Source organism: Homo sapiens, chromosome 20, assembly GCF_000001405.40.
Source record: "Homo sapiens chromosome 20, GRCh38.p14 Primary Assembly".
Lineage (NCBI taxonomy): Eukaryota > Metazoa > Chordata > Mammalia > Primates > Hominidae > Homo > Homo sapiens.
Genome location: NC_000020.11, coordinates 63,371,202 through 63,384,791, shown reverse-complemented (window position 1 = coordinate 63,384,791; position 13,590 = coordinate 63,371,202). Strand labels below are relative to the sequence as shown.

At 60.8% G+C, this 13,590-nt stretch overlaps 1 long non-coding RNA gene across 1 annotated transcript, besides 4 other annotated features; it reads left to right on the top strand.

The window, feature by feature from the left end:
- Positions 2,261–2,945: an enhancer, noted in NCBI's record as "H3K4me1 hESC enhancer chr20:62013199-62013883 (GRCh37/hg19 assembly coordinates)". NCBI's record gives its function as "activates a minimal SCP1, AML or CMV promoter by ChIP-STARR-seq in naive H9 embryonic stem cells {active_cell/tissue: H9 hESC(naive)}" and the evidence as "EXISTENCE:reporter gene assay evidence [ECO:0000049][PMID:30033119]".
- On the top strand, positions 2,902–8,477 carry LOC124904953 (uncharacterized). Its single transcript, XR_007067716.1, has 3 exons — positions 2,902–2,984; positions 4,436–4,533; positions 4,907–8,477. It is a non-coding gene; the product is annotated as an uncharacterized LOC124904953 (long non-coding RNA).
- Positions 6,841–7,135: a silencer, noted in NCBI's record as "tiled region #785; HepG2 Repressive non-DNase unmatched - State 4:PromP, and K562 Repressive non-DNase unmatched - State 20:ReprD". NCBI's record gives its function as "represses a minimal TATA promoter and a strong SV40 promoter by Sharpr-MPRA in HepG2 and K562 cells {active_cell/tissue: HepG2 | K562}" and the evidence as "EXISTENCE:reporter gene assay evidence [ECO:0000049][PMID:27701403]".
- Positions 7,121–7,415: an enhancer, noted in NCBI's record as "tiled region #8221; HepG2 Activating DNase unmatched - State 4:PromP, and K562 Activating non-DNase unmatched - State 21:Repr". NCBI's record gives its function as "activates a minimal TATA promoter and a strong SV40 promoter by Sharpr-MPRA in HepG2 and K562 cells {active_cell/tissue: HepG2 | K562}" and the evidence as "EXISTENCE:reporter gene assay evidence [ECO:0000049][PMID:27701403]".
- Positions 9,538–10,037: an enhancer, noted in NCBI's record as "H3K4me1 hESC enhancer chr20:62006107-62006606 (GRCh37/hg19 assembly coordinates)". NCBI's record gives its function as "activates a minimal SCP1, AML or CMV promoter by ChIP-STARR-seq in naive H9 embryonic stem cells {active_cell/tissue: H9 hESC(naive)}" and the evidence as "EXISTENCE:reporter gene assay evidence [ECO:0000049][PMID:30033119]".

The window sequence follows — 13,590 nt, the reverse complement described above, 5'->3', positions numbered from 1 at the left end:
CCATGGATTTCGAGGTTTTCCAGGCTGGCTGGGAAAGAGGCCCTCTCCCGGCCCTGTGGGAACACGGGGTTGCTCCTCGGACTCCTCTAGATGGGCCTTTTCCTGGCCTGGGCCGCGTCCGCCCAGGGTGTGCAGAGGAGATCCCAGAGGCTCCGTGTCGGAGCAGCTCCCTTCTCTCCCTCTCTACCAGGCACCTTGGCTTCCTCAGACTCCGAGGTCGGTCCCGTCAACCCAGGACTGCACCAGGAAGAAGCTGCAGCAGCTGGAGGGCTCGTCCTCTTGGGGGCTGTGGAGCTCTGCTGCCGACGTCCCAGGCCTCTAACACTGTGGCTGCAGATATTCCGTCTGTTGTTGTCCAGGCAGGAGGTGACCCTGGCCCTATTACTGCATGTCGGCCCCAAAGCCTTTCTGAATCACGGTGACATCCTTGTCCCGCACATGGCCGCCTCTATCTCCCTGCCCCGGGCCTTCGCTCATCCAAGTTCAGCCCCAGAATGCCCACCCCACCCACCTCTCAGAATTCCACCTGTTACGGGGTATCCCGGAGACCCAGTGGGTTTGTTCTTGATGTGGCTGCCACTGAGAGCCACCGAGAGTGTAGGGATGGGTGGTGGGGGGTGGAGGTGACGAAAGGAGTGGGGGTGAGGTTGGGGTTGGGGTTGGGGGGGTGGCGGTAGAGGGTTCCCTGGAAACAGGCCTCCTTTCCATGGTGGTGCCTACGATGTAGCCTCTGTGAGTTTTGGGGGGTTTGGACACTGGGGGAGGACGGTGCATGGAGTGGGGTCAGGGTTGCAGCCTGGGCGGCACTGGCTTGCTCTTCTCTGCACCTCTCGGCTGTGGGCCCTGCCTGTAGTGGTCCGTGAGGATGAAGGCCCAGTGAGCTTTCCTGGGCTATTGTCTTCCTGCTCCCAAAAAGTCCTGACCATCCTGGGGAGCCAGGCTCCCCAGCTCCCAGCCGCCAGGAGGCCGACTCAGGCCCAGCACTGCAAGGACGCTGAGGCTCGGACAGGTGCCTGGGTGGTTGGTGGGGCCCAGTGACTCCTAGGCCCTATCCCCGAGCTCTCTCCGCATCCCAGTCCCCTGAGTGATCCTGGCTGCCGGAGTCGGTGGGAGCACCTTTCCCACCTCCAACCCCAGCAGGTGGTGCGAGGGGAGGTGTGAGACAGAGACTTTCTCATTCTAATTCTGTGCATAACTCTTTATTTGACATGGTTACAGGCATCATGCATTCGTTTTGCAATTAAAAAAACCCAGACAAGTAAGTCAATGATTTTACTGCTAAGGAAACAAAACACAATAAAAAGAAGCGAGGCAGAGCTGGCTGGTGATAAACTGGCCCATGTGGTGGAACCGAAGCCCCCGGGCCAGGCAGCAGCCTTGAAAATAAAGTTCCCGCGGTTTGTGATCGGACACCCCCCAGCCACGCATCCTGGGAAACTGCTGGGGGCAGGGCTGGCCATGACCTCAGCAGGTGGATCTGAAGGGGCCACTTGGCTGCTGAGGATGTGAAAGTGAATTTTATTTTCTTCAGGTTCCGGAGGCAAGAAATGGCCTGGTAAATATTTTTTGTGCCTTTAAAAAAAATATTCAGGCTGGGCGTGGTGGCTCACACCTGTCATCCCAGCACTTTGGGAGACCGAGGCGGGCGGATCACTTGAGGTCAGGAGTTTCAGACCAGCCTGGCCAACGTGGTGAAACCCTGTTTTGACTAAACATGCAAAAAATTAGCCAGGCGCGGTGGCGGGTGCCTGCAGTCCCAGCTACTTGGGAGGCTGAGGCAGGAGAATCACTTGAACCTGGGAGATGGAGGCTGCAGTGAGCTGAGATTGCACCATTGCCCTCCATCCTGGGCTACAGAGTGAACTTGATCTCAAAATAAAAAAAAAAAAAAAATCAGCCGAGAGAAGCCTTTCCAAGTCAGATGCCCTGTGTGGACGGACAGGTAGTGCTGTGGAAACCCGCTGGCCAGTCAGGTGGGGAGAGCCCCGGGCTGAGTCCTGCCTCTCGCCTGCTTGCTGCCAGCGCCAGGAGGAAGGGTTCCCAGCGCTATTCTGGGCAGCTGAGGACCAGGTCTGCCATTGGCCAGGAGAAACCCAATGGGGTACAGCCCCAGCCCTAAGGGAAGGAGGGAGACTGGGCCAGGGAGGGTGAGACCTGCTTGTGGGAGGGGTGGGGCTGGTGACAGTCCACACAGGGATGGTGGGGCGGGGGCTGGGGTCCAGCTGGCACCAGGTGCAGAAGGGTTTACCCACACATGGGTCTAGGGGGTCCTCAGAACCCCTCATGGACACGGGTTGGGGAGATTACCAACCCCTTCAGCGGGTTGGCCAAGACCTCCCTGGGGGTAAAATGGGTGGGGAGATTCCTGGTCCTGCCCAGGCCCTCTGCCCTGATGCCACCCGAAGGAGTTCACCCTACTCCAGAGGCTGTAGGGCCAGGACCACTGGGGACTTGAGCCAGCCATGAAAGAGTCTAGGTCCCCAGATGGACCACCCCCATCTTGATAAGGACAGAAAGTCCCCCCTTTTCTGGTTTATCATCCTCTCTTTCCACCTCCCCGCCCCCAGCTCTCTCCATCGACACCGTCCCCAGCATGGACCTAGATGGGGTCCTTACACCTGGGGGTGCTGGTGACCCCATTTTACAGATGACGAGACTATGGTCAGGACCAAATGGCAGAGTCAGAGTTCATAACCTGATGCGTGACCCCGGGGTCCTCACCACCCAGCGGCAGCGCCCCCAGCCCCCGCTGGTGCTGCGACACTTCCAGCACCGCCCAGCAGGTGGTGCTGCAGGGACAGCTTCTGGGGCCCGGCTCTCCGGCTCTGCACTGGGGGCTTGGAGCTGGGGTCAGGGTCTCCCTCCAGCCTGCGGTTAACGGCGACTGCAGCTGCGGTATCAGGGAAGGCCGAGCATCCAGAGGCCAGTGGAAAAACCATCTTGCCACGGAGTCTGTTTCCTCCTGAACTGGAAACGGATTTCAGGTAAACAGTGTTGAGTCCGGGCCCAGCAGAGCAGTCACTGCACCTTCTGGGTCTCGGGTTCCCAGTTCCCTCCCCCGGAGCCGCCGTCTTCCCTGGTCCCTCTGGACAGGTCAAGCGCCCTGTAGGGAAAGCGGTCGGCCCCACACTCCTGAAGCCCCCTCCACGCTCCCCTCTGCCTGGGAAGGCTCCGTCTCCGCCCTGACTCAAGAGGAGGCAGGAGTGGCCTCGGAGACAAACAGCCCCTTCGCCAACTCCCCAGCCAAAAATATACACAGGCAGGAGCGCGGTTACCAGCACAGCCTGAGAGCAGGAGGAAGGGCCTGCAGGCCACAAGGGCCCCCGAGCCACACAGGAGGTGAGGGACGGTGCCTGTCATACCCTTCTCTTTCTCCGAGCCAAAGCGGCCCTCTGCGTGAGGGCAGTGGCAGACCTTGGATCCTGAGTTCACATCTGTGCCTCCCTACTTTTCTTTCTCCTCTGATGGAAGTCGGGACACCAGGGGAATGAGGGGGACCCCCAGACTCACATGATGTTGCCCCTAGCTCTGGGGAACCCGTGAGAATGGCATTTCACACCCAAGCGGCCACCAGGCTTCGGTTCCCATGAGCTCCTATTTTAACCTCCTTCTCCCAGAAGGCAGAGGTCTTCAGCACAGGCAGAGCTACCTCTGGTGCAGGGCTGGGCACACCGCAGAGGCCAGGTGCCTGTGAGGCTGGGGAGCCGGCCCTGGAGTTGGAATGAGCAGGTTCTGGAGGCTGAGGGGGCTAGTGTAGGAGGCTGAGGGGGCTGGGGGAGGCTGAGAAAGCTCATCTTGGCAGTTGAATGATCTCGTCTTGGGAGAAGGCAACATCATAGGGGCTTTTAGGGTGCCACAGGGGGCAGCACCCAGGCCTCGGCCTTTGGGTGGGAGGGTGGGATCCCTCCGCCTTTGGGCGCCTCCCTCCCGCCTCTGCTGGAAGGCTTCTCCCTTTGTCACGGGACCCTTGGGCTGTTGCTTTTCCTGCTGGAAGCCTCTGTGGCCGGTGGCACCTTTGCCAAGGTTTGCTGGGGCCCTCTGGGCTCATTCCGCCCACTCGGCCCAGGAGGTTGGGCTTGGCTCATGCTACCCGCGTGGACCCCACACCTGCCGAGGGCTAGCCAGGCGCAGAGCGGTGTGTGAGCGAGTGAGCGTGGGGTCCAGGCACTATGCACAGCCAGGCATGCCGGCTGCGGCAGGGAGGACAGCTCCACATGCCGGCTCCCTGTGAGGCTGGCGCTGGACCAGGCAGACCACAAGTGGCTTCCACAGCTGGCACCAGGGAACGTGGTGGTGCCTGGAAGCTTGGAGGTACCAGGAACTGCAGAGCCCCAAAGATGGCGTCACAGCCCTGGCTCTAGGAGCTCCTTGGTCTGGGCTCCCCGAAGGGCCGCAGCTCTTCTCTCCTCTCTTCTCTCCCTCTCATCACCCACAGCATGGCGAGCAAGGGGGGTGTCTCAACCCTGTCTGTCATGGCTCTTTCAGCCCTGCCATTTGGGCCCCACATTCTTGTTCCACACCAGGAAGAATGAGGTACGTGGACACGTGGGGGGGTGACCGGGTGAAGGGGAGCTTCACTGAACAGCTCAGAGGCGACCCGCAGTGGGTCACTCCTCTAAGCAAGCAGGTGACCCATTGTCATCTGGAGTCTGGCTGAGTCTGGGTTTTTATGGGCTTCAGAGGGGAGGAAGTGCATGCTGATTGGTCCGTGGGTGGTCATGCATGCTGATTGGTCCATGGGTGGTCATGCATGCTGATTGGTCCGTGGGTGGTCATGCATGCTGATTGGTCCATGGGTGGTCATGCATGCTGATTGGTCCGTGGGTGGTCATGCATGCCGATTGGTCCATGGGTGGTCATGGGTGGGCCCAGAAAAAGTATCACAAGTTCTCACTGTGGTCCACAGAACTGGCAGCCCTGGCCTGAAGATGAGGCTTCACTGGGACCCCCCGCTTTCCACCCAGGAGCCCATCTGCCCCCTGCCACCATTAACCTGCTCTCCACGGTGCCCACGGTGCCCAGACTGTTTGTGCTGAAGGCTGCCTGCAGGCCCACACTGACCTGCCCTTAGTGTCCCTCAGCCTCCCTCCCATGCTTGTCAGCGCCCAAAGTCTGAAGGGGGGCCAGGGCAGCAGAGGCTGGTGTGTCAGTGCTGCCCCAAGGGTGAGTACACCCAGGCGGGCTGTGACAGTGCCTGGGCTCAGCCTCAACTTTGCCCTGAAATCAGAGCAGGCACTGGGAGCAGGGAGAGGCCAGGCAGCGGGGGCAGGGGCTTCCTGGACCTCCGAGAGTGCAGAGATGCCTGGGTCTGCAGCCACAGCTGGGCCCCCACCCTGTCAACTCAGAAGTGGGTGGAGCTTCCACCTGTTCCCAGCTCCCACCAGCTCCACAGAGCGCACAGCCCCGGCTACACCTCCCCGACGGCAGCCAGCATCATGGCAGCCCATTCCAGACAGGCCGCCGCTGCTATCACCTTCACCGTTGGGTGATCCAGTCTGGTTACATGCTGGCCTCTCCCTCCCCCTGCCTTCGACACAATCAAGGGAACAGATCATGGAAAAAATGCAGAAGGAGCCTGAGTGGACACTGGACGTGTGGGTTTGAGTCTAATTTTTGAGCAGATGAAGAAAGGCCCCTCCTTTTCTTTGAAAATTGAAGCTGGAATAACACAGAGTATCCAACAGCAGATCCGTGTGGAGGGCCAGCTGTGAGCAAATTTCAGTGTGGACACAGCACAGTGCAGGCACAGCCCTAAAGGAGGGTACCACGCAGCGGGGGTGAATGGGGGGCCCCGGAGCACAAAGCGGAGGGTGGTTTTGGGAGGCTGGAGTTGCTGTTTTGTGTGCACGCACCCCCTTCCCCCACTCCCTGTGTCTTCCACCTCAGACTGTCCCCCACTCCCTTCCCTGGGTGACCCTCAGAGCTGCTCATCCTGGGGAGCAGGTAAAGTCAGCACCTTGGATAGCTCTGTCACACAGAGGAGGCCAGGCCTTGAGCAAGGCCCCCTGGCTTCAGCTCCTAACAGCTTCCACTCCTACAAGCGTGCAGCTTCGGGTCAGAGCCCCGCGACCCCACAGCCCACCCAGAAGACGTCCTCGTGGCACGGCTGTCCCATTGCACTTTGCCAAGTGTTGGCTGGAAGGTGGTGGGAGAGGAGTGACAGTTTGATGAAGAATGAATGAATTAATTAATTAAGGCACAGGGTAATAGAGGCTGGCCAGGCCCGGTCCCCGTTCCTTATTTCCTAATGCAGATAAATTCCAGTAATTTCTGTGGGGTGAGAAATGGGCATCAGAAATAATGGTTTTACTATCAAAAATTGAAACATAGTGCCTGTGTGTATCTGAAACAATACTCGTTGTTCAGATGTCTCTGGGGCAAGAACAGCTCGATGCCGAGGGAGGAGGCTTTTTCGATTCCCGCACTGCGAGGTACTCAGCAGCGATGAAGCCCCCAGGGCTGGGCCACAGCTGTGCCATCACACCCCCGGCCCCGGGGCTGACCCTTTGCTGACGTCAGCTCACCAGTGCCAGCTCAGCTTCCCTGCAATGCCCTTGATATTTACAAGGTAGATGCTAGAAGCCCGGGATGCTTTGCTGTTGGGAGGGAAACGCCTGCCAGACGGAGTAAACCAGCTGCTCCGGAATTCTCACCAGCACTGGGAGGGTTGGTGTTGCTGCTCAGCACGGGGGCTCAGAAGCCCTCCCCACGCCCCCATTATCCTCAGCTTCCCCAGGCTCCATCCAGCAGGAGGGAGCAGACGGTGGGCCCTGCCTCCTGGCCTTGAGACCAGAAGACGGCCCAGGGTTTGAAGCAGGTGAAAGTCTGAGCTACTTCTGCAAGTGCAGCCTTTGTTCCAAGGAAGCAGGGCTGCCCCGCACCCCGGTGTGCAGGGGGGCAGCTGGCTTTTCCCGTCTGCAGAGCTCCGTCTCCCCAGGAGGGGCGTCCTGTCTCGGGCCAGCATGACCGCCGTCTCCCTGCTGCTGAAGGGGAGGGCCCCCTTTCTGTGGGCCTTGGCCTCTGTCTGTCAAATGACGGTAAGACGCAATCGGGGTGCATGAGCTATGGTCCAGAGAATGGCATGGGAGGGAGCTGGCTCACCTGCCCCCCAGGCTGGCTTAGGGTCATGGTTCACCCGTCCACTCTGCACCCTGTGAATGATTCAAGTCAAGGCCGTGCCTTCAAAGAGCTCACGGCCTCATGAAATGTGACCCACAGAGGCACGTGCAGGTTGCTATGGAAACACACACAGGCTATTCGGGGTGGGGGATGGGCCCGGAGGGTCTCGCCGGGGATGAAGTGTTGAAAGATGAATGAGTTTTCCTCTCAGAGCCGGGGAGGTGGCGGTGCGGTGGGAGGCGTGTGCTCCGGAAGCTGGAGGAGACCCCACACTCCAGATGCATCAACCTGCCGCCCCGCAAAGCTCGTTTATTTAGAAACGTCTCGGCAAAGCCAACCGTGGGATGGAAGCCTTTCCCTCTTCTCCCTGATCTGGATGTGCAGAGGCGAAGCCACTACCGTGACTGGCTGCTGATGCTCCCTCCGGACGCACCCGTCCCTGGTGCAGCTCCGAGCTGGAGGGGCCTGGGTGCCCCCGGCTGTCACCCCAGACCAAGGGCCAAAGAACTGAGCTCCCCAGATGAGCCAAATGGGGGCTCCCTCTGTCCCCACCCCCCAAGGAGGGATGGCGGGGGAACCCAGGTCCTCGGCCCCGGTGGTCGCCCGGGGGCTCTGCGGTGGGTCCACCAGCTCCCCTGCTGTGTCTACACCCAGAGCCTTTATTTCTCCCAGGCAAAGCCACTCGCCAGCCCACCCAGGTCGGGGAGGTCCACGGCGAGGGGCTTTCCCCTGGTGGAGCTCCTCAGCGGCCCTTCTACCAGAGTGGCTGGGGGCAGAGCTGTGCCCCTGGCATCCCCAGGTTGAGGTGTCCTCAGAGCAGGCGCCTGACAGCCTGTAGACCGTGACCCTGGGGGCTGCACGGAGAGGGGTCTCCCAGAGGCCTTGGCACCGAGCCCAGGCAGGGGCACCCTGGATGTGAGCTGCTGATGCACCTGCCACAGGCACTTTGTTTGCTTGGCCTCTGAACTGTGAGTCAAGGGTGAAAACAGGAACCTCTCTTCCAGGGAAACTGTCCTGAGGGGTCCAGGCTGTGTGGCCTCTGCCCAGACTGCTGACCCAAGCTGGTGCCGACGAGCCTGCAAAGGCCAGCAGCTCCCATGCAGGCCCTTGTGTACTTTCAGGGTGGGGAACCGCACCTCATACCTCCGCTCCTGGGCTCCCCCCGACCTCAACACCCCCACTCTGGTGTGGGAAAGCAGTGAGGAGGGAGGGGCATCCCCGGGCACCCCCGGCTTCCTCTGCAGCAGGGACTGGGCAGCCGTCATGGGAAGTTCCCTTTGTCTGGCTGCTTTGAACTCTTTTCCAAGGAAAACCTATTCGTGTTTTACCCACGGAATTAAAAAATCATTAAAAGAAAAGTGTACGAAGAGAAAAATCAGTGAACCTGGGAGTATCTTCTCCCCAAAAATGGTTGAGTTATCACTTGTTGCTGAGAAAATTAACAAAAGATCTGAGTTACGGACATGAGCAGAGCGGGCAGTTTCTGAACGGTGCTTCCTGGAATCTGGGGTTCCTGGGAAATGCCTCGGAGTCTGCGCAGGGGGCTGGGGCTGGAGTGCAGGGCTGGTGGGGGGTGTGGGACTGGTGGGGGTACAGGGCTGGTGGGGGTGTGGGGGTGGTGGGGTGGGATACAGGGCTGACTGGAGGATACAGGGGTGATGGGGTTGCAGGGTTGGTGGGGGTGCAAGGGTGGTGGGGCATAGGGCGGGTTGGGGGTGCAGAGGTGGTAGGCGGTGGGGTACAGTGCTGGTGGGATACAGGGCTGCTGGGGTGCAGGGATGGTGGGGTTCAGGGATTGTGGGGTGCAGAGCTGGTGGGGTGTGGGGTGCAGAGCTGGTGGGGTGTGGGGTGCAGGGCTCATGGGGGGTGGGGTGCAGGGCTGCTGGGGTATAGGGCTGATGGGGTACAAGGCTGATGGGGTAGAGGGCTGATGGGGTACAGGGCTGATGGGGTATAGGGCTGGTGGGGTGCAGGGTTGATGGGGTGCACGACTGATGGGGTGCAGGGCTGCTGGGATGCAGGGATGGTAGGGGTGGGGTGCAGAGCTGGTGGCCGGTGGGGTGCAATGCTGGTGGGAAGTGGGGTGCAGGGCTGATGGGGTACAGGGCTGATGGGGTGCAGGGCTGGTGGGGTGCAGGGCTGATGGGGTACAGGGCTGCTGGGGTGCAGGGCTGGTGGAGTTCAGGCCGGTGGATCTGACTCAGAGCCACCAAAACCTCAACCAAGGCCTCTCTGCTTTTTTTCTTCTAAATGGTTCTGTCATGTAAACTTTTTTTGAAGACGAGTTCTGTGGATAGAACAAGGTTAGAAACGCCACCTGACAGAGCGGCCTGCAATGCCCATCACTGTCCTGGAGCCAGACAGGTGGAGGAGAGACCTCAGGGCTGGGCCGGGTCAGCTGACTCCAGAGTGGACACCAGGTGAGTCCCAAACCTTAGGTGAGGGTGAGCCCTGTCCAACCCTGGGACGCATCCTGGGGGCTAGGGAAGCCGTGACCTTATGCCCTTGTCATGTGCTGCTGAGATGGCACCTCTGGTGAGACGCTGGGCACTGTCTCTAGGGGTGCAGGGAGTGGGGGAGCCTGGGAGCTGTCTCCAGGGGCGCAGGGAGGTGGTGGGGCCCTGACTGCCCCCCACCTGCCCACCTCCTCCCTAGAGGTTGCATCCAGCCAGTATGGCTTGCACAGAGAGCCTGTTAAAATCGTGCATCTCTTTGAGGGGAAGTATCTCTGCCCCATCAGCCTGGTGGGAGGTGGAACGCCGCCCATGCCTCCGGAGTCCGAAGGAGATACAGGACCCGACCATGGTGACTGCCTGGGCTCAGCCTCCCAGGCGTCTCTGTGGGAGAGAGAAAAGAGTTCCTGCGGGCACTGGGGGTGTTGCAGCTAACTAAGCCAGAAGCCAAAGTGCAGCCACCTTAATTAGCAGTTTCCCCAGTGTGGAGGTTGTTCATTAACCGGAAGTTTGATGCGTAAGGGGCGAGGGCGCTGGAGGCAGGGATGAGTGAGCTGTCTGCCTGAGCCTGCTACTCTGAGACCCTCCTCCCTCCATCCCGAGCCAGTGTCCTGCCAGGGTGTTGCCCCGACTGCTCCCTTCCCCTCAGGTGTGTGGCCTGACAATCCATCGGCCCCTCATTTCCAGGCAATGCCCAGGGAGGGGACTCCTGGAAGAAGCCGGCCTCTTGACTTAGGGTTAAATGTCCTCTGGTTTGAAGACACAAGAGTCTGCATTTGCCCAATACTTGGGGTTCTCAGCTTTTCTCCAACCTGGTCATCACAGAGTGACCAGCATTGGCCTGGCAATGGTGCCTTCACATGGGAGCGAAAAGGACCAGCCTGAGGTGAGGAGGATGGGTCCTGTGTCCCCACTCTCCCCTGAGCCCGGGGCGTTGCAGTGGCCTTGACCTTCAGCCCTGGGCTTCTTCCTACCCGAGTCCCCGGCAGTGTCCCTCAGCCCAGCCCGGCCCGTTCAGCCTTTGTCTGGGGCCAGTCACTGAGGGTGGCTTCCCCGGGACGTCCCGGGCTCCCTTGAAGGAGCTGCTCTCAGCGCGATTCTGCGGACGGATGGCGGCATCTGTGCTGAGCCCTCCACTGTCTTGGGCTCTTCTAATATCACACTGAGCACTGGGCGTTGTTCGTCCCACTCTACGGATGAGAAAGTCGGGGCTCATGTAGGTGGAGGAAACTGCCTGAGCACCAGAACCCGGGGAGGCGCCGAGGCTGGACCGAGCCCACCCTGGCTGTGCCTGTGCCGAGCTGAGCCTGCTGTGGCTGTGTTGCTGCACATTTACCAGGCAGGGACTCAGTTTCCCCTGGGGTACAACTGAGGGCTGGGCTGGGGGATCACAAAGAGGGAGGCAGCACGAGGTGCTTGTGGGGGCTCTGGGCTGCACGTTCCAGCAGGAGCAGGGGCGACGGCCCACGTCTCTGAACAGGCTCTTTTAGTGGTGCTGGGCGGGACCCGGGTGTGCCCCTCCCGTGGGCCAGAGCGACTCTAGGGCCCAGGCCTGGACTCTTGGGCTGCAGGTGAGAGCCAGGCGGCGGGGCAGGGAGTCAGAGGCAGAGGCAGGGGCGAGGCAGCTCCTCCCGGCTGCACCCCGAGACACTGGAGGAAGCTGTCTCTGAGCTCTTCCTCCTGCTGTCCAGACCAGGCGCTGAAATCAAAGACAGAACTGATACTGACCACAAAACCTCTCAGAGCCACTTCATTGGAGAAGATTAGGGTCAGGCAGCTGCGGGCAGCTCACAGCCGGCACGGGGCTTCCCTCTGGGAGGCTGGGATTTGATCTCCCTGTGCAGGATTTTCCATAGGAAGAGTCAGTCCCGTGCGCCTCCTTTAAGCCTTAACCAAAGCGGGGTTCCTCCATCAGGCCTGCGGGGGCCCAAGGCCCCCAGCTGTTGCCCGTGTGCACACCTGGAACCACGTCTAAGTCCTTGCCGTCCAGAGGCCTTTTCTCACCACCCACGCTCATCCTCAGCCCTTCCTGCCTTCAGCCATGCCCGAGGCTCTGCCCTGGGTAATAGGTCTGCCCTGGGTGGAGGCGCTGCCCTAGGTGGTGGGTCTGCACTGGGTGGCGGGTCTGGAGTGGCCAAGGCAGGTGCGGCCCTCCTGGGCCCTTCAGTCGGCTGGGGCGAGAGTTAACCAACAGTCTCCATGGCGGGGAACAGGAGGGACCTGTCCCGTGAGAGGGGAGTCAGGGAGGACTCTTGGGAAGATGGCCTTTCATTCAAGGCCTGAATGAGAATCAGCCAGATGTGCTGGGGCCAGGCAGGTGGGGACGAGTGCGCGGGGGGGGGCTCAGCATCTTCTAGAACCAACCACACACCTGCAAGAGAGAAGACAGGGTAGACCCCTGCGGCCCCCTGGGGCTGAGACGGCTTTAGGATGGTACTCCAGTTGCCCCCATCCTTTCCCGAGACCCTCCTGGACCTGAGCTCCGGGATGCAGGAGCGGTGAGTCTGCCTTGCTTTGGTTTTCTGTGGGACTGGCGGCACGTCCAGAAGACGTTTGCTGCGTTTAATGAGACTGGGGACAGGACAGTGGCCCTGGGCATTTAATGGGGCTGGGGACAGGCCAGTGGCCCTGGGCGTTTAATGGGGCTGGGGACAGGACAGTGGCCCTGGGCGTTTAATGGGGCTGGGGACAGGACAGTGGCCCTGGGCGTTTAATGGGGCTGGGGACAGGACAGTGGCCCTGGGCGTTTAATGGGGCTGGGGACAGGACAGTGGCCCTGGGCGTTTAATGGGGCTGGGGACAGGACAGTGGCCCTGGGCATTTAATGGGGCTGGGGACAGGACAGTGGCCCTGGGCGTTTAATGGGGCTGGGGACAGGACAGTGGCCCTGGGCGTTTAATGGGGCTGGGGACAGGACAGTGGCCCTGGGCGTTTAATGGGGCTGGGGACAGGACAGTGGCCCTGGGCGTTTAATGGGGCTGGGGACAGGACAGTGGCCCTGGGCGTTTAATGGGGCTGGGGACAGGACAGTGGCCCTGGGCTCTGAGGTCCCTGCAGACCTGCTGCATGGCCAGGTCTCAACTTTGGTCTCTGCACCTCAAAACAAGGGTGTTGACACAGGGTCTCTGCGACCTGTGGCAGCCCCGGTGTTCCGTCCTTGTCCTCACGGGACTCAGAGCCTCCCTCCACGAGATGCTGCTGGGCTCACCTGTCCTGGTGGTTTTCCTGAGCCAGGAATAGAGTCTTCACCTGACCTAACCTGAGGCCATGCCCAGGCCACTCTGAAGTGAGATCCGACGGCCTGGGGAGGTTCAGGGGCTCATAGGTGGCTGCGCCCAACCCTGCCACACTTCTCCTGGACCTATCAGAGGTGCATGCTGTGGTCAGTGCCTGGAGACAGAGCAGCTCCAGGCCACCCACCCTTCCGGTCTGAAGCGTCTCACCCCACACAAGGCCCCAGCACCACAAGCCCATTCTCCCCGTTCCTTGGAGCAGACCCTGGTGGCAGCATCTACAGGGGGGTCCCAGGCAGCCTCACCGCAGGCACCACGGAGGCACGGAAGAGCTGCCTTGCGCCAGCACAGGGCACGCAGGGACGTCTGGGTGCCCCGGCTGGCAGCCACTCTCCCCGCAGGCAGGGTCTAGTGTATCCGTGTGCGATGTCTGTGATTGGGCTTTGTGCTGGGAGCGTAATGAGGAGCCTCCCCGGCCTCCCCAGACCCCGTCGCTGATGGGGGAAGGACACGTGGCCATCATAACACATACATCACCAAACGTGGGCTTCCAGCGCGGAGGAAGCAAATTAAACGCTGCAAACGAGCGTCAGGGTAATTATCCCCACCAGGGCTGGGACAGGGTCCAGGCCTCCCTGAGAACGGGGCAGACGCATGTTGAGCGCTTAAGAGACGGGGAACTGGGGCAAAGGTGCTGGTGCCACAACAGCCCAGACACAGAGGAGGGTCGAGGCCGCCCCACACCCCCATCTGCTGCGAGGAAGAGAACGATTTGGAGAGGAGCT